Genomic DNA, 18,532 nt, shown 5'->3' with positions numbered 1-18,532 from the left:
TGACAAGCCTCTGTTCAGCCAGCTCTGGCCTTGAGGTACCTTTCAATGCCAAAGAGAGGAATGCAAGGATCAAATTTCTGAGCACTAGAACTTGACCATGACTTCCAAAAACTGAGTCACAAGAACACACGTATCACACAAAGGACTTTCTTACTATCCAACAAACACATATGTCCCCATTCCTTTTCTGTTGGAAGAAGAAATAGAGAAAAACCAGCCCTGAGTTCCTCCTGGGACTGGAAGTGTGCCTATTTCTTCCCTTTTCTGCAGCCACACTAAGGGATTGTGTCAACATTGTAAAGCCATCCATATTGAAAATGGTTACATGGAAATATTTTTGTAACCTATTATTACTATTAATACTCTGGTTTCTCTTCAGATTGTATAAATCTTTCAGCTCATTATTATTATTATTTGGAGGAAAGGGGAAGCTAGTGGTAAGTAGGAGGCACCGAGTAAATACCTCCAAGAGGGCTATAAGTTTTTGCGTTTAGCAACGGAAGTGATGTCTGAGAGAGTCAGATCCCAGTAATATGCAACAAGCATCATGGAGCTCCAAGTGTGTTTCTTGTAATTTTTGTCATTGCAAGGAAGCTGCAGTATGTCTTGGAGTCAAAAAGTCCTGGGCTCTAATTTTAGCTATAACATTTAACAGTGAGCATGTCTATGGACAAGTAAAGTTTACATTTCCTTAGCCTAAACTGACTCACCAGTAAAATGGGAATGATAAAGCCAACTGCGCAGGCTTGTTTTGCAAAGACTAAATGAGATAATGCAGGTAAATTTGCTAGCACATGTAAATGCTCCCTCAGTGGGGGTTTTCATAATTAATAAGATTAACATGTTGTGTTCACAATGCTGATGCATGTTTGAAGTTCTCATCTTTTGCCTCTTAGGGGGAAGCTCATGCCACAGGACCTCTTCAAGAGCTGGAGACAAAAAGCCCCCTGTTCTGAGAATTGTTGAAAGGTTTCTTTCCCTTTCCCAGATTCTTTGCTCCTCGGTGCCCTGTCAAAACATCTGGCCCCTTTTGTCCTCAGCTTTCCCTGTGCTATTAAAGCCAGTCCTCATCACGAGCCACTTCCTGTGGACCTAAACATTTTTTTTATTATGCACCTTAACACTTCAAGATGATTAGAGCTGAAAGGGTAAGAACAAAAAATGAAGGTTGAGCCTTTCTTTTCCAGCAGCTAATTTGATTCCAACAGCACTTGAAAGAAAGAAAGAAAGAAGCTCAAATGTTATGTTTTCATCTGCTAAGAATGAAGAAAGCATTATTTTTAAAAATTCCCCTCTCTAGCTTGAGATTAAGAGTATAATAAAAGAGGTTAGTGTCTGGCAAAATATTCTCAGTGGACTAATGTGGTCATTCCTTTATCCAGAGTATTCTTCCAGCCAGGTGCAGGCAACATTATTATACAAACTCTGGTTTGTCTTCTTGCTAGGAGAACAGAGGGATTTGTCAGGAATTCAGGGTCCTAGAGCAAAAGTGCATTGCTTCTTTCCCACAGCCAACCCTGGTAGTTCCTCCAAGATAAATTGCTTGAAGTAAAACTCTCAGTAAAGAGTATGTCTGAATGGGGACCCTAAGAAATTTCAGGAGGCTTTTTTTTTTTTTTTTGGTCTACACTGACTATCCTTTGCTGTGGATTAGGCCACTGCTTATTACAAATTCAAATCCTATCTATATATTGTTCATGGTTCCTTTGTGTCATCAGGAAATTAAAGTTTGCAGCTGGTCCCTTCATCTTGGCTAATCATGCGGACATAAAGTCCTTAAAGGCCCTCGGAGTGGCCCCTGCGGGGGCCCCACTCAACACTTCTCTTCAGCTAGACATTGTTTTTCAGCTGTGTTTTCATCCTTTGCCCCGCGGTATTAAGCTCCCGCTGCTTTTAGCCCCAGCATCAGACTGTCATGCGTCATTTTATCATGGCCAGTCCAACACCTACAGGAAACCATGCCCTCATGCCGAGTCCTGCAACCGGCTGGAAGTCCTTCAGAGGGTGGCAGGGCTTTCTCCAGTGTCCTGGGATGGCCGTTGCATCCTGAAGACCCCCATGGGTACCCAGATGGAGCAGAGTGGGTCCCTCACAGCAGTGGCCTTGTTAGGGGTCTCAAGTCACACTTGCTCAGAGTCGAAGGACGTGAATTGTTTGGACCTGTTAGGGAAGGCCTGGGCTATAAACGGGAAGCTGCCAATTTGCCAGCTCCTCGAAAATTGATCTGACGTGTTACAAAATCCTAAGTCTCCTCTCAGGGATCTTTTAATATCCGGCAGAGTTTACACCTGGTTTCTGTGATTCCTTGAATTAATTGAATTCTCATTAGAATACTTCCTGCTTTTCCCTTCCCACACTTAACCATCTATGACCCAAAGTTCACAGGGGAGTGACAGGACGAGAGCAAATCAGTCTCCCTGGTGTCCTTGTTTCATTTCCCACACCAGCCTGTGCGCTCACCTCCTCCCTGAGCGACTCCAGCCAGGCCATTCTTTTAGGGCAATTGAGAAGCCTTCCACTCGTCTCTCTCCTAGAAGTTACATTTATTACCTTCTTCCAAGCATTCCATCATTTGTGTTGTCTTACACATTGTGTTGAGTCTAGTGTTCTTTACTTTCTAGCACATTCAGTAATACATCTCTTCTTTTCCAATGACCGTATTTTCTTTGCCATCTCACTCGTTTTGGACACTATCTATGATTAATACATTGAAAATTGTGGGTATATTTGTGGTGCACATTATCATAAACATGCATTGTCCAGGAGCCTAGAAAATGCTAGGCTCTTAAAAGTTTTTTCTGCACTATGTATGTACAGTACATCCACTGTACATGCATTTTAAGACACAATCTTTCCTTATGTTTACCATCTGGGACCATTCAGTGATGTAAACCATTTTACATATCTCCCACAAAGTTGTAACTATTTTATTATGTTGAGGCTAATTCATTCTTACAGAGATCTAGTTTCATTTCTGATCTGCCTTGGAATTTTATCCTGTTTACACCAGGCATAGTCTCATAGTGACATCACTCTGGCTAGAATATGGAAGATTGTTTATGGTAGAAGAATGCTACATCAAGTAATCATCAGCTCTGTAAGGCAGAAAGGTCCAGAAAGGGAGACACCAAAGATGGACAGTAAGATTTCTTTTTGACTTGGTAAAAACACACTCATTTTTCAGCTCAAGTGTTACCTCTTCTCTGCCTCTTGTGACATCCCTCTCTCCACCACCCATAACTCTTGTGTCCTTGTCCTCTAGCAGAACACCAGTATGGTTTAATAAACAAAATTATTAACACATCTGCATTACTAGTAGATGATAGCTGCCTTGGGTTAGAGCCCATATCTAACTCAGAATTATATTACCTTCACGTAGGAGAGTGGCTATAGGTTAAATGAAGAATGAATGAATGAATGAAGGAAGGAATGAATGAACAAATGAATGAATGAATGAACGAACAAATGAATGAGTTTTATTCCAAACTAAGATATGACCCTCTCTAACACCAGGTTAGAGGCCAGGAAGAAAACTGTAATTTCAGCAAGCCTTTCTTTTTCTACCTCCACCCTTCACAACTACGTGTTCTCCAAGCTCACGACTCTCTTCCCAACCACACTGGCTCTCACAAAACCCTTCTTTTTCACCTTATTTTCTCCTTTTCATTTTTCATTTTCTGGTCTCAGCATAAGTGTTGCTTCCTCAAGAAATTTTTCTTTGATTCCCGAAAATAAGTTTGTTCTCTTTGGTTTTTACACACTCCCGTGTTCCAGTGTATCCCAGAAACATCACACTTGGAATCTTTGGGACTTGAGGGGCAGGGAGAGAAGAATGTGAGTCCTCAATGAGACAGGGCCAGAGAGAGGAAGGAGGGGGAGTGAAGAGGCTTCAATGGGCATGTTCAGTTCCTTCTCCCGGCTGCTCAGTTTGTTCCGCTCTTGGGAGAAGTGTGAGCAGTGGGGAGAAAAGCCAGAGAAGAGCCTATGGATCCCTCCTGCAGGGTGGGAATCCCCTCCTCTTTTCTGTGTTCTTCCCACCCCCTGCTCCATGCAGTTGCCTATTTAAAGTATCAGTGCAGGAAGTATTTCTTGTTCCCTACTCTACCTCTGACCTTAGAAAAGTGCTTATATCATCGGGGTAGATTTATTTTAGATTTAAGAAAAGAAGATAGAAAGGATTGCATTCAATATGACTTGAGCAAAATTAAAGCAATACAGTCCTGTCTACCACACACATACACACACACCAATACCTATAGGAGACCACGTTCTTATGCTTTAGATTCCAGTTTAGACACAGAAAGCTGCCATCTCAGGCTACAGTTTCCTAGAGGGAGAAGAACTAAACTATTTAATGTTTTCACTAATAAGTTCAAAGTTACTGGTGGTTTCAAAGCTTCTACCATCAATTCTAACTTATTTCTACATCTCTTTCTACTATTAATATTTATTTCTTATTTTAACAAACACCTTTTGAGCTCTCATTGAATGCAAGATGTGTGCTAGGAATAGTCATGTGCACTACACAGTTTTTACTCTTGAGAAGTATGTTGAGCTGGAAACCATCATTCTCAGCAAACTAACACAGGAACAGAAAACCAAACACTGCATGTTCTCACTCATAAGTGGGAGTTGAGCAATGAGAACACATGGACACAAGGAGGGGAACATCACACACTGGGGCCTGTCGGGGAGTTGTGGGGCAAGGTGGGGGAGAGCATTACGACAAATACCTAATGCATGATGGGCTTAAAACCTAGATGACGGGCTGATAGGTTCAGCAAACCACCATGGCAGATGTATACCTATGTAACAAATCTGCATGTTCTGCACATGCATTCCAGAACTTAAAGTAAAATAAAAAAAAATATGTTACCTAGTGAGGAGGACAGACAAGGGAACAGGCAATTATAATAAGGTGCAGTTAGTATTCAGTGGAGCAAATGAGACCAGAGTGACCCAGAATCTGTAAGGCCTGAGACAGCTTCCCAAAGAAGGAGAAACTTAGGCTGACAAAGGTTGAAAAGCATAAGCCAGAAGTTGGAGGAAAGGAGTTTCAGGCAGATGGAATGGCACCTGCAAATGCCCAGAAGGGGAGAAAAGAACATGGAAGGTAACACTGAGATTCTCAGGGTACAGGTCTGGTCTACCAAGGGGGTATGGGACCGTCTTCCCTGCCCTAGTGTAGAAGAAGGCAGCACAGCTGATTTAATCCCTGCTTGGGATCCCTGTGGAGTCCTTTGAACTGTTAGAGCAAGTCCTTCCTTATCCTAACAAATTGGTATAAGCTCTCTTCAGTTGGAGACCCAAAGGAGCCTGCTGCTCCAATAGCTGGAAAGTTAAACACAGGGGCAGGCAGTGCAGGTTCCCTAGGCCTGCTTTAAATAAACATTTGTGGCATGTGACAGTCCTGTCTTTCGAAGACTTCTCACACAGAGGCCTGGCCTTTCCATTGTCTCCTGGCCCTCTTTTCTTCTATTAAACTTTCTTATCATTTTTCTTATTTTCTCTGAATTACGTATTTGTAGCAGACACCATTGGCCTCCCAGGCAACCACAGTTCTCTACTTTCCTTCTTACCAGACCTCCTTGGAGCTGGCCTGGCCTTCACAGAAGGCTGAGACCTCCCCGTCCCAAGGGGGTGTATCTCAAAGTATCTAAGTCCTTGTGGATCTAAACCAAGTGATGGTGATGCAATTCTCTCCAATTAGACCTGAGGGAGGTCTGTTGGGTTTTCTTGAGAAAGGATACAAGACAGAGAAGTTTCTATTCTTTCATCTGAATGTTGCTGCCTGCCTATAATACCTGTGGCCATCATTTTGGGCCCAGAAGGGGAACCAGCCTAGGAAGAAAGCATACTGTGGAGAAGAGGGCAAAGTAGAAGAAGGAGAGAACCTTAGTCCTTCAAGCTGTAGTTGAACCAACCAGCCCTGAAACCATCCTGCCTCTGGACTTGTCATTATTTGTTGAAGCCACTTCTAGTTCATTTGTCTGGCATGGGCATCTGTTAGCATCCTATCTGATATACTGGGCCACAGGTCATCTGACCCAAACCCTCTAATTTTTGTTTTGTTTTGTTTTGTGGTTTTTGTTTTTGTTTGAGACAAAGTCTCACTCTGTTGACCAGGCTGGAGTGCAGTGGCACAATCATGGCTCACTATAGCCTCGACCTCCCTAGGCTCAATCCATCCTCCCACCTCAGCCTACAGATTAGCTAGGACTACAGGCATGCACCACCATGCTTGGATAATTTTTGTAATTTTTGTAGAGATGAGGTATTGCTATGTTACCTAGGGTGGTCTTGAACTCCTTGGTTCAAGTGATTCACCCACCTCAGCCTCCTAAAGTGCTGGGATTACAGGCATAAGTGACTGCACCCCACCAAACCTTCCATTTTAAAAACAAGGGAACTGAGATCCCAGGGGGAGTGAAGGGATTTATCCTTGGCACATGGATATGGAGCTATGAGCAGAATGCTCTAACTTCACATTCAGACTATTTTTCACCACATTGTCCTATGTTTATCCCTGGAGTGGATGGCTGCTAGTTTTCCTGGCCTCTAAGAAAAATTTCCATAAGTACTGATGGAGACCTACCAACTTTGCCCCAAAAAAGACAAGATAAGGCAATAGAAGAAGATATTTTTAGTTAACTAAGCCATTCACTATCTCTCTAATTGGGTAAACAGAAATGTTTATTTCCCCACTTTTTAAGAATATTATTCTGTCTTCTGATACCATTTATTCATTGCGCATCTACTTTGCTAGGTCCTAGAAATAATATGGTAAGTAAAGCAGATTTTATCTTTGCCTCATGAGCCTACATTCTAAACATAACCATTCTCTTTCTGCTTCTGCAAAGTTGAACCTTCATCTTGCAAAGGGAGAGGGATCTCACAGTCAGCAAACAGAAATGAAGAAGGAAAGGACCTACAGCTGGGAAAATAGAGCAAAGTCTATTCGGTCTGAGCCAGCCAGCTGAGTGGGGAGACAAGAAGGCTAAAGTGCTGGTCCCCTCTGATGTGGCTTTGTCCCTACGGAACATGGGTAGAGGAGATTTGAAAGCAGCCTTTCCCTGCCAGGGTTTTGTTTGCTCCTCTGGGACAGGGACAATTTAGCTCCGTTTTGAAGCATTTGGGAAGTAAAGCAGCCTTTAGCATAGCTGGGAAGAGACGTGCCCCTAACTGTAGAAGATGAGGATAGATTGAGTGCCAATGGCAGAATCCCAAGGGAATTATTATAAGAGGCTCCAAGTTAAAGGTAAACAAGTTAAAATTTATATTTGGGAACTGGTTCCCTTGAGACTTCAGATTGCCCTGCAACCCCATTCATGGGGGAAGTATGTCCTAAGGCATCCAGGAAACTCACATTCCCCTCCTCTGCTGGTCCCAAAGGACTGGGTACTGCCAGAGCATTGGTTGAGACCATCTGAGTCTCAAAATCTGCTAAACAAAAGACTGTCTTTGAAAATTAACAGAGGTTTTTCTTTTGGCTGAATCTGGTCTCTTGATAATTCAGAAATTTAATACAGCCATCTTGGGCCTTTTTTTCTGAGAAATAAGAGGAGACATCTACCTAGACCAAAACCTAGAGAAAGGTAACACATTATTCCAGCTCCAGGATACTATAAATGGTATATTTATAGCATCCTCTGATCCTAAGCTAATGTTTTGGTAGGGTCTAAATTAAATGAAAACAAACACTAAGAGGAGCCTTACCAAGGAAGAGAAGTCACTGAAGAGAAGCTGAGATACAGATGGGGGTGATGCAGTTCACCCGCCTCACTTTGTAGATGGGTACCAAGTGTATGGCAGTGGACAGCAGGTGCGGCTGCGTGTTGTAGAGGCCAAGAGGGAAGACCCAGACAACTTGACCACAAACTAGCTTTGTGACCTAGACATGGTCCCTAGCCTCGCTACCTTTCAGTTTCATCATTTCTAAAGTGAAGTGACAATTATCTCTGTCTCATAGACTTGTTACAAGGGTTAAATGAGTTAATGCACAGAAAGCACTTAAACCAAAGCTGGGCATGTAGTAAGCACAGCAGAACTGTTAGTGTTGAGGGATAAGATCATTTTTCGAACCAGCTGATGGTCATCTTCTCTTCCTGCCACTGTTTCTGCAGGTCACTGTCCTTCTGTGGCACTATAGAGGCCTCCCTTCAGAATTGTGGGGTCAGGGGATTTGCCTCAATTTCTTGCTCCCTGGAACAGCTTTGATCTTGGTATCTGGAGAAGATGAAGTTATCAGTCATGCTGGAAGAAGGCACACTTCCTGACCGCTGGGAGGCACTCAATAAATATTTGTTGAATGGACCAGGCACCACCCTGTTAGAACAAGAACAGAAATTGCTGATACCAGAACAAAGAAAAAGAAATTATTTGATGCTCAAATTTCGTAAACCAAGATAGCCAGGGATCCTCTTCAACTCTCATAATTAAGTATGTTATCCAATCACTTATGAAAGGGCAAGGAAGAGGGTAATAGGAAGAGTAGGGAAGCAGGTTTAGGAATGTCTTGGAAGGATGAAAAAAGTGGAAGCTATCAGAAATTGAGTATTTATGTGCCATGCAATGATCTAGGCATATTACATTATTTTAATTCTGACACCAATCTTACCAGGTATGATTATCCATATCATAGGGAGGCAAGTAGCTTGTCTAAGGTTGCTCTGTGGTGAATCCTTCATGGACTAGGATGCAGGCCCATGTATTTGACTTCAAAGCCCCTAAGCTGTCTGCTGCACCTAGCCAACAGAGTTTCTCTTGTTTCTTCAGCATAAAGTAGAATATTGAGCTGAGTGTTCCAGCTGCTTCACAACTGGACAGGATAACAAAGGCACTGAGTGTATTCTTCCTTTTTTTCTTAAGTATTGAATTAGGACTTCTCCAAACCAGGATTTCTTCCCCCCTCCCCTTATAGCACTGCCCCAGTTCCCAGCTCTCACAGGTCCACCTGCTCCAGCTCAGCGGTTTGCGCCAGCACTTACGCTTCTCAACCATCATTTTTGGAAGCCGTGAAAAAAACAAGCACCAAGTGCATGTTTAACCTGCAGGGTCTCCTTGGGTTCTGAGGCATGCTCAGGGTTTCCTCTGGATTCTGCTAATTCTGTGACAGCTGCTGATTAATAAAACCAATCCCATCTCCCCCTCCTCAATGCCATTGGCTGGAGAACTTGTGGCAAGGCTAAGGGTGAAAGGTCATCTAAGGGTAGTTACCAACTTTAAGGTCTAGTTCAGCTTCTCATCTACCAAGAAATATCATGGTCAGTTAGTATGTGCAAAGCTTCCTAAAAACATAGTGATCAGTCTTAAGCTTCCCCCAAGTACCTTTCAGCCATTCCCTCCCATGGTGGCACTATCTAAAACCAGGCTCCTAATTCCTAAATCAGGCTTCTAAAACCGGGAGACTGATTTATACTTGGTTCTCTTGTGACATCCTTTAAAAAGGCATCAATCATTTAGTGTTCTGCTCTTTGGATTTCCCTAAATGCTGTACAGACACAATGTGACTCAATCCAAGATGAGCAACAGCTGTCCTCAGGGCATACAAGCTCCTTATTCAGCTGGGGCTAGTGCTCCAAGCTGATAGGAGCTTGGAGTCGGAGGAGGAGAATCACTCCCACTCTGAGCAGCAGTAGGACATTGGAAAGCCCCCGCCCCCCTGACCACCAAATACTTGCCATTGGCTGAGTTAGTAGCATTTCTTCCTTTGTTTTACAATTATAATCCATTTATGTTACATAGATGGAAAGAGGGTTAAGGGCATTATCCTTTGAAATGCAATGCTTAACATCAAATATTGGATAGGGATAATTTGGTAAATTTATCTTTTTCAGCTTTAATTGCCCCTCTGGTATGATTCCTATAGGACAAAGGAATCTTAAGTAGTCACTCTGCCTTTATGGGCCCCTTTTATCTCAGAACACAACATTACACATGGTGCCCTGTCTCCTGCAGAGGGTCATGGTGAACACCCAGCGCTTGGCTTGGCCCTGCTCCTTCTGCATGTCATTATCAGAATTCTGGCCGCCAGATTCCATCTGCTGCTTACACTTAAGTTTTCACATCCAGTCTCTTCGCCTCTTTACGTTTTGCTAAGCATATGTTTGTCCTGCCTTTGGGGGAATATTTAGGTGTAATTTATAGAAAGCTACAATAGCAAGAACTATGTTGGCAACTCTCTACATAGTGTTGAGAAAATTTACCCTATTACATCAGAATTGTGGTTATTTTACACACTGTCAACACCCATGCTTAGCTTCTAATGGACAATTTTCTTCCTTCAAGCTGGGATAAACTCTCCCAAACTCTCACTGGGGCATCATTCTTTACTTGTCTTCCTTTCTTGCTGCTCTCCTCCTGTAATGATTGGGTTTATACCAGATACACAGACTTATCTGCTCATTTAAGGCCACTTCTTAATTCCCTTCACAATGTATCTTTTTTTCACAACCTTCACCTATTATTTCCAAAGGGAGTCCCCCCTTACCGAAGCCATGGCAGGCTTCTTCTCCACTGCATTCCAAGATGAGACTGTCGAATTTGGCCTCACTCGATATCTCTTAACTTTTGCCCTTGGCATCCAGACAACTCTTCGATTCTCAGGATGCTTGCTGCTGAACTTCCTGTCTATATAAATGCGCTCGGGGAGCCTCTTGCTCCTCTAGCCTGTTTCTTCCTCCTCCCAGAGCTTCCCTTTCCCTTTCCATGCCAAGCAATTATTCTTATTAATTATTCCAGCTAGCAGTAATTATCAGCAGTACATGCCCCAAGCCACATTAATAACAGAAATCTCTAGGACACTGAGCAATCAGCTGGGAGGCCCCCTCCGCCTTTTGATTTGCCTGGCGCTGCAGCTTGTGCTCTCTGCTCCCAGCGCCCCTCCCACCGTGCCTCTGCTTTGCTCTTACTGGTCCCCAGTTGTTGCATTCTCCAGCCCTGTTTGATGGTGTGATAAAACAGGGGCAGCGTCATCTAGACCTGTGTGTTAGCTATGGCGGCGTGGGAGGCATCTGACCCCTGGCGCGCTTGAAAGCTGTCCTTAAGCAGACTTTGACATTGGGTCCTCACCACCCCTGAACACTCTATTAATCCCTCAACCCTTATTTGCAAGGGTTTTTAATTTGTGTATGTTCTCACCCATTGCTCATTTGTCTTGGCTGTCATATGTAAATAGTTTAAAACCTTAATGGCAGGTCATTGATGTATTTAAAATAATGCTCTTATTTTATTGGAAAATTTTAAAAATCAATTTGGTTTACAGACACATTTGGGAAAATTAAATGATTAAGCACTTTCTTTTATCTCTACTTGGAAAATTGCATTCATGATAGTCTTCTGCAAATTGGTGAACCAGCCTGATACACTAAAATATTTGAACAAAAAAGCAGATGGCTAGGAACAGAGAAGAATAGACAGAACCAGTTTAGACCAGCAAGTCTTTCTTCCCAAAGTAACTTTATGTATTAAAACGCATGTGCATGCTTGAGAAGTGAGACGTAGTATTTTGCTAACTAGCTCCTCACAGTGACTTGGAAATCTGCCTGTTGGAACCTTCTTTTATTAGTGCAAAACAACAAAGTTTGAAACACTTGGATATAGTGTCAACTCTGACTTACTACAATTGCAAACCATCAGCAAGTTTTCAGGGAGGGTGCAAAGCAAGGTGCTAATTTGCAGATGTTATAGCAAAGATCTTATTACCAAACCACTACAGACCACATGTGGCAATGGTAAGAATCAGGTGGAAAAGAGAAAAACACTTTCAGCATAGTCAAATAGTGTTTTTATCAGTTTTTGCCAAGTGACAACAAAAAAGCTAGTTTTTAGTTTTTTGGCTTTTAGACAGGGTGGGACAAGTTGGCATATGTGAAGCAATCTGAAAAACATACAATTTTAAAAGTGACACGATCTCACTTAAAAACACTTTGAAGAGCAAAAGTAATAGGAAGTGTGCCTTATTCTGACACTGTGCATACTGGCTTCCAGCATGAAATACCAATGCATAATTGTTGAGGCCAGTAGTAAAAATTCAGTCCTTTGCAAATTTATTTAATTTAAATAAGCTTCCCCAACATTGGGGGACTGTGTTCTCTCAGTGTGCTTCATTAGTGTAGCTTACACCACAAAACTGGCTGTATTGAGAAAGATTGCACCATTATCAAATAATTAGGAATGCCTTAGCAGGTGCATACACTTACCTTAGTAATTAAACCCTTGTTAAAACACCAAAATCCAGAGACTTTAAATGGTTACATGATCCCAAAGGAGGTAGCCTAGAAAGTGATTCTATAAGGTAGTGTCATTTGGGAACAGGGATATTGAGCAGAGTCTCTTTTTCTCTTGGGATGCTTACCAAGCACATCTGTGCACATCATGAGATGCAATAAAAATTGCAATGACAATGCTAGACAAACACCCACTGCACAAGATGCTGGACAGCCCCAGCGCCATCCCGCTTGGAAGCAGATACTGTGTAACTGGGCTTTGTGCTGCCATTGTTTCAAGCAAGGAGCATGAGACAAAGAGAAATAAAAATGAGAGTCTCTGAAATAAGTACTCAGCTTCCTCTCTTTACTTTAGGGAGAAAAACGCAGCTAATCCCAATTTCTCATCAAATGCCTTCCTAAAACTTGACTGTAAGTTTTTCTTTGACAAAAGGCAAAGATTGGATAGATTTCCTCCCCCAGTGGCATTTGAAATACAGGCCCTTGTAAATATGACAAGCGGCCACCAATAAGACAACATGCAAGGGCGGTTCCTTAACATCTTGCTACCGGGAGTGTTAGAGTGATCTATAAAATTACAAATTAGATCCATTTACTGGGGTCTGGTTGCTTATGCAGGAGCTCCTCTTCCATATAGAAATATAATTGTGATAAATCTGGACCCAACAGCCATGGGGCATTCTGAAGATGATATCTAGGGGTTGCCATGACAACTCCCTAGAATTCCTGCTGTCTTTTCATGGTGGAGTTCCTAGGTAAAGCCTGGAAGGTATCTGAAATAAATCATCAAAAGGTAGGACAGCTGGAAATTGTCCATGGAAGAAATCCAAGTATATGAGTCCATACGTCCTGTGGTAAGGAGGTTGTCACTTGAGGACAAATTTCCATCACTTTGTAGAATTTAGACTGAATATTTCAAGCAATAAGATTTTTATGGAACTCACTGTTCCTAAGGCTGAGGTATTATGGTATTTAGACTAATGGTATCTGCCAACCACTGAGGTAATCGCTTCCTGGGAGCCAAACATCTCACATTCCTGGGATATGCACACGCCTCAGAAGCTCTGTGGCCCAAACCACGCAGCAAAAAAAAAAAAAAAGTTGTCCACCCATAAACAGCAACTCACCCTCTTGTGTAATTTTCTTAAGAGCAGAGTCCACCCTGCCGTCTGGAAGGGTGCCGTCTGGAATGTCAGGCATTCAATATATGATCAATTAATTTCCTTTTCCTTCTGTCCACCCCATAAAAATATAAAACATGATATAAATGCAAGTCTCATTGCATTATTATTCAATTCTAGAATCTGAAGGCCATCAGGCATTGCACCATTACTTGGGCAGACCAACACTTCCAGTTCAATTTTTACTGTGCAAAATAATGGAATTTTTCAAAGGGCAAGGGGAAGTGGTGGTTGCTATGTCATCAGAGACACAGATGTCATGTGATATTTTAAATGATAAACAGCTGAAACCAGAGTATTATTTGAATCATCCATATCTTCATGCCATAAACTTAGGAAGCTGGTGATTATGCCCCTATGCCCTGAAGTAAAAGAAAGTTTGGAGTAACAAAAAGAGCGTTACAGTCGTTTGAAATCATGCCCCAACTTCAGACCTGCCAAGGATATTTGTAACATGTTGTTCAATAAGTTAAGGCATTGTTTTCACCTGTAAAATAGCACATCCACTGGCACACATAAATCAAATTTGTTTGTATTTGTAAACTTTGTATTGAAATATAACACATTCAAAAAAGCAAGCAAGCAAGGCCAGGTGCAGTGGTTATGCCTGTAATCCTAGCACTTTGGGAGGCTGAGGCAGGTGGATCACTTGAGGTCAGGAGTTCAAGACCAGCCTGACCAACATGGTGAAACCCCATCTCTACTAAGAATACAAAATTAGCTGGGCTTGGTGGCACACGCCTGTAATCCCAGCTACCTGGGAGGCTGAGGCAGGAGAACTGCTTGAACTTGGGAGGCGGAGGTTGTAGTGAGCTGATATCATACCATTACACTCCAGCCTGGGCAACAAGAGCGAAATTCCATCTCAAAAAAAAAAAAAAAAAAAAAGGTAAGCAAATCAGAAGCGTATAGCATGGTGAATTTTTACAGATTATAATAATGTCCTATTTTAATATCATTTAAATATACTCTATTTATTAGAACGGGTTAATATTTTTGTCTCTGAATGTGTTATTAAAATTTTAGAGTGTGTGTCACAGAGTTTTTATTTCTTTTCCTTTTTACTGTATTAAGGACAGTAATTTTGACCACTTTTTTGGTGTACTGTTCTAAGAATTTTAACACATGTATCGATTCATGGAATCACCACCACAATCAGAATCAGGGTACAGAACAGTCATCACCCCAGAATTCTCCCTTGTGCTATCTCTTTGTAGCTGACTGCTGGCAACTGTTGATCTGTTCTGTCATGTAGTCTTGTCTTTTCAAGAATGTCATAATAAATAGAATCAGATAGCATGTTACCTTTTGAATCTAACGTCTTTAACTTTGTATAATGCTTTTGCAATTCATCCATCCTGTTGCATCTATGAATTGTTCATTTTTATTGTTGGATATGAATTTCATTGTATGAATGTAAACAATTCATTTATCCATTCACCCACTGGAAAACTTTCGAGATGTGTCCAGTATCGGATGACTATAAATAGAGCCATAAACATTTGTATGTACACTTTTGTGTGAATACAGGTTTTCATTTTGTTAGGGTAAATACATAGAAGTGGGATTGCTGGATCTAAACCATTTCTGTGATTCTATTAAATCTACCTAGCATTAGAGTCTACGTTATCTTCATCAGTAAACTATTTCCTTCTTGGGATAGGCTCTTCAGATTTTGGAGAAATGGAAATGGTCTCCTATGGTCCTCAGATCAGAAAATGAGATTTTAACAATTCAATGTTTTATTTTGTTTTTATCATTTCAGTAATTTTTTATTTTAGTTATTATAACCCTAAGAGACATATTTTTTAAATTCCCCAATTGAAAACACTCCTCTATATATTTGAAAGCAAAGTTGCAGATGTTATGATTACCCCCTATTTCAGCATCTGCCTCCTAAGAACCAAATATTCTCCTAACTACTATACCATTATCACATTCAAAAAAGGTAAGATTGATTTTAGGTTCTTGGGTATTTTTTTTTCCTTCACAACACTTTTAACTATTTCACTCTGCTCTCTTCTTGTTGCATGGTGTTGGATGTAATTTTTATTTTTGCTTCTCTGCAGATAAGGTGTTTTTTCCTCTGGCTTCTTTTGAGATTTCTTTCATTCCCATTGATTTTCTGAAATTTGTATATGATATGCCTAGGTTTTGTTTTGTTTTGTTTTGTTTTTGGTATTTATCCTGTTTGGTGTCCTCTAAGCTCCCTGCACCTGTGAATTGGTGTATGACATGAATTGGGGTGAATTCTTAGGCATTATTCTTTCAAATATTTTCACTGTTCCTTTCTCTCCTTCTTTTCCTTCTAGTATTCCCATTACACAAATGTCACACCTATTATAGTTGTTCCACAGTTCTTAGATATTCTATTCTTGGGTGGGTTTTTTCAGCCTTTTTTTCTCTTTGCTTTTCAGTTTTGTAAGTTTCTACTGTGATGGTCTCAAGCAATTCTTTCCTTGGCTGTGTTCACTCTACTAAGCATTCTTCATTTCTTTTGGTGTTTTGGGTTTCTAGCATTTCTATTTGATTCTTTCTTAATATTTCCATCTCCCTGCTTATATTTCCCATCTGTTCTTGCATGCTGTCTATGTTATCCATTAGAGCCCTTAGCACATTAATTATAGTTGTTTTAAATTCCAAGTTGGATAGTTCCAACATCCCTGTCATATCTGAACCTGGTTCTGATACTTTCTCTGTCTCTTCAAACTGTGTTTTTGTCTTTTAGTATGCCTTGTATTTTTTTGTAACAGCCGTACATGATGTCATGGGTAAAAGGAACTGCTGTAAATAGGCCTCTAATAGTACGGTGTTGAGGTGTGGAGGAAGGGGAAGAGTTCGCTGCCCTGTGAATAGGTCTCAGGTTCGTAGTGAGCTGGTATCTCCGTACTGCAAACTTCACATATGCTTCTCACACCCCGTGGCCCCATGCCCCCTTAGTTGGTCAGGGTGACTACAGTGGGCTACAGTTAGCCACTCCCTTTTTCCCATGTAGAAGGTTAGTTAGGGTCAACTTACCATTTTTCCAGCTCAGTTAGGCTCTGATAAAATCTTGGCAGGCTAGGTTCTGGTTAAATAGTTTCTCCTGAGGAAAGACCTTGTTAAGAAGAATAGAATGTTCTGGTATATTTCAAAACGGTTCTGGAAGTACCAGGGGATTTTTCCCTCATATTCACTGTGAGAACCTGCTGAAGCTCCTGGGTGTAAAACTCACAAAAGTGTGGGGATGTCTCTATGACCAGATCCCTCTGGAGTTTTTGGCTCTCAGACTTCTCCAGATTGAGCCTCCGGCAACTTGTCAATCATAGTTTAGGTTTTCCTGTCCAGCACTGGTTCCCATGGAGGTTTTTGCTCCTTGGTTTCTGTTATGGTAAGTTGTGCTTCTCTGTCTGTGGGTTTCTTGTCTGTCTTTTCAATTATAGGGGGCAGTGATTTGCCCTATAACCTCACTTGTCTGATGAATCTGAGAAGAGTTGTTTATTTTTCAGTTTGTTCAGCTTTTTACCTGTTGCTTGAACGGGGCTGCAATTGGGCTGGAATCAGGAAGTCCCTAAGATTGATTTAAATTGTCTATATGCAGTCCACATGCAAATTTCTCCAGTTATTCCAAAGTGATCTTTTATCATCTTCAAAAATCTGGGATCCAACAAAGTTTCATGTTTTGCATTTGGTTGTCATGTCTCCAGTTTCTTTTAATCTCAAACACTCACCTTCCCCATACTCTTTTTCTTTCTTTCTTTCTTTTTTTAATCTTTGAAGACATTGAAACTTTCAAAGAGTTCAGGCAAGTTGTGTTGTAGATTTGTTTTCTCATAACCTGGGTTAGACCCAGGTTATACATATGGCAAAAATATGACATAGGTAATACTATATGCTTCTCATTGCATCATATAAGGAGGAACATACTGACCATTTTGCCTTTATTTGTGATGCTAAATTTGATACTTTCTATCCACAAGATCTGTCCATTATAAAAATACGTTTTTACTTTTGTAACTAATAGATAATCTGTGGTGATACTATGTGTAGGTGTGAATAATCTATTTCCTAACAACCTAATAGTTTTAGCATCTATTGGCAATATTTGCTTAAAATCACTTATTACATTACAAAATGGTGATTTTCTTTTTTTTTATTTTTTTGAGACAGAGTCTTGCTCTGTCGCCCTGGCTGGAGTGCAGTGATGCGATCTTGGCTCACTGCAATCTCCGCCTCCCTGGTTCAAGCAATTCTCCTGTCTTAGCCTCCCAAGTAGCTGGAACTACAGACAGGCGCCTGCCACCACACGTGGCTAATTTTTTTTGTATTTTTAGTAGAGACGGAGTTTCACCATATTGATCAGGCTGGTCTTGAACTCCTGACCTCAGGTGATCCACCTGCCTCGGCCTCTCAAGATTTCCTAATTCTATCTTTCTCTCATATTTTATTGTAAAGAATGTCTGCCCCCTTCTTTTGTGTGAGCTCTGTCTCTCTGTCACTCTCTCCCTTTCTCATATCATCATGGATCAAGGACTCTCCCTGTTTTATTTACTTATTATTATCATTTTTGTTGCTCAACTGTCTCCAATTCAGACAACAAAGATCCCTTCAAGCCAGTTCTTGTGGCTTCCTGTGTCCTTTTGATGTGATCCCATTAATCTTTGAACACTTTTTTGCTTTCTGGCACAATAAGACATACCAGGTTCACTTTGTACTTTCTCTGCCCCAGCTTTGGAATCAGCCAAGGCTGAAATATTATTTAGAAACCAAGATCTGGGGCACTGATGATGTCATTTTTGGACACAATGATCAGGCAGTTTGCCCTACAACTGTAGAAGACTAAACCCATGTATCCTAGAGCACTTAACCACTCTCTTTTTTCTATAACCTTCTGTAGTCCCTCTTAATCTACTTCACAGTCCATTTTTCCTCTGTTCAGCCCCAAAATGTCAGCATGCTCCCAAGGATATATTCCTCAGTTGCCTGGGTCTATTCTTATGACACTTGCCCCTGGTGACTATCTCCATACCCAAGGCTTCAGGTTATCACCTACAGATTAATAATTCCCACATCTTCATCTCTGATACAGAAATCTGCTAAACCGACCCTTATTTCCACCTTATCTCCAGAACACCTACACTTGGA

General features: G+C 41.2%; 2 annotated features.

Moving 5' to 3' along the window:
* Window positions 494-3,240: an enhancer, noted in NCBI's record as "VISTA enhancer hs1544". NCBI's record gives its function as "enhancer in: hindbrain (rhombencephalon)[5/5] | midbrain (mesencephalon)[5/5] | forebrain[4/5]" and the evidence as "EXISTENCE:transgenic organism evidence [ECO:0001131][PMID:17130149]".
* Window positions 9,432-9,632: a silencer, noted in NCBI's record as "peak3082 fragment used in MPRA reporter construct". NCBI's record gives its function as "represses an SCP1 promoter by STARR-seq MPRAs in K562 erythroleukemia cells {active_cell/tissue: K562}" and the evidence as "EXISTENCE:reporter gene assay evidence [ECO:0000049][PMID:32103011]".

The sequence above is a fragment of the Homo sapiens genome, chromosome 18 (genome assembly GCF_000001405.40).
Source record: "Homo sapiens chromosome 18, GRCh38.p14 Primary Assembly".
In the NCBI taxonomy this organism is placed as follows: domain Eukaryota; kingdom Metazoa; phylum Chordata; class Mammalia; order Primates; family Hominidae; genus Homo; species Homo sapiens.
The sequence above is the reverse complement of the archived record's forward strand: the minus strand, read 5'-3'. Positions and strand labels throughout refer to the sequence as shown.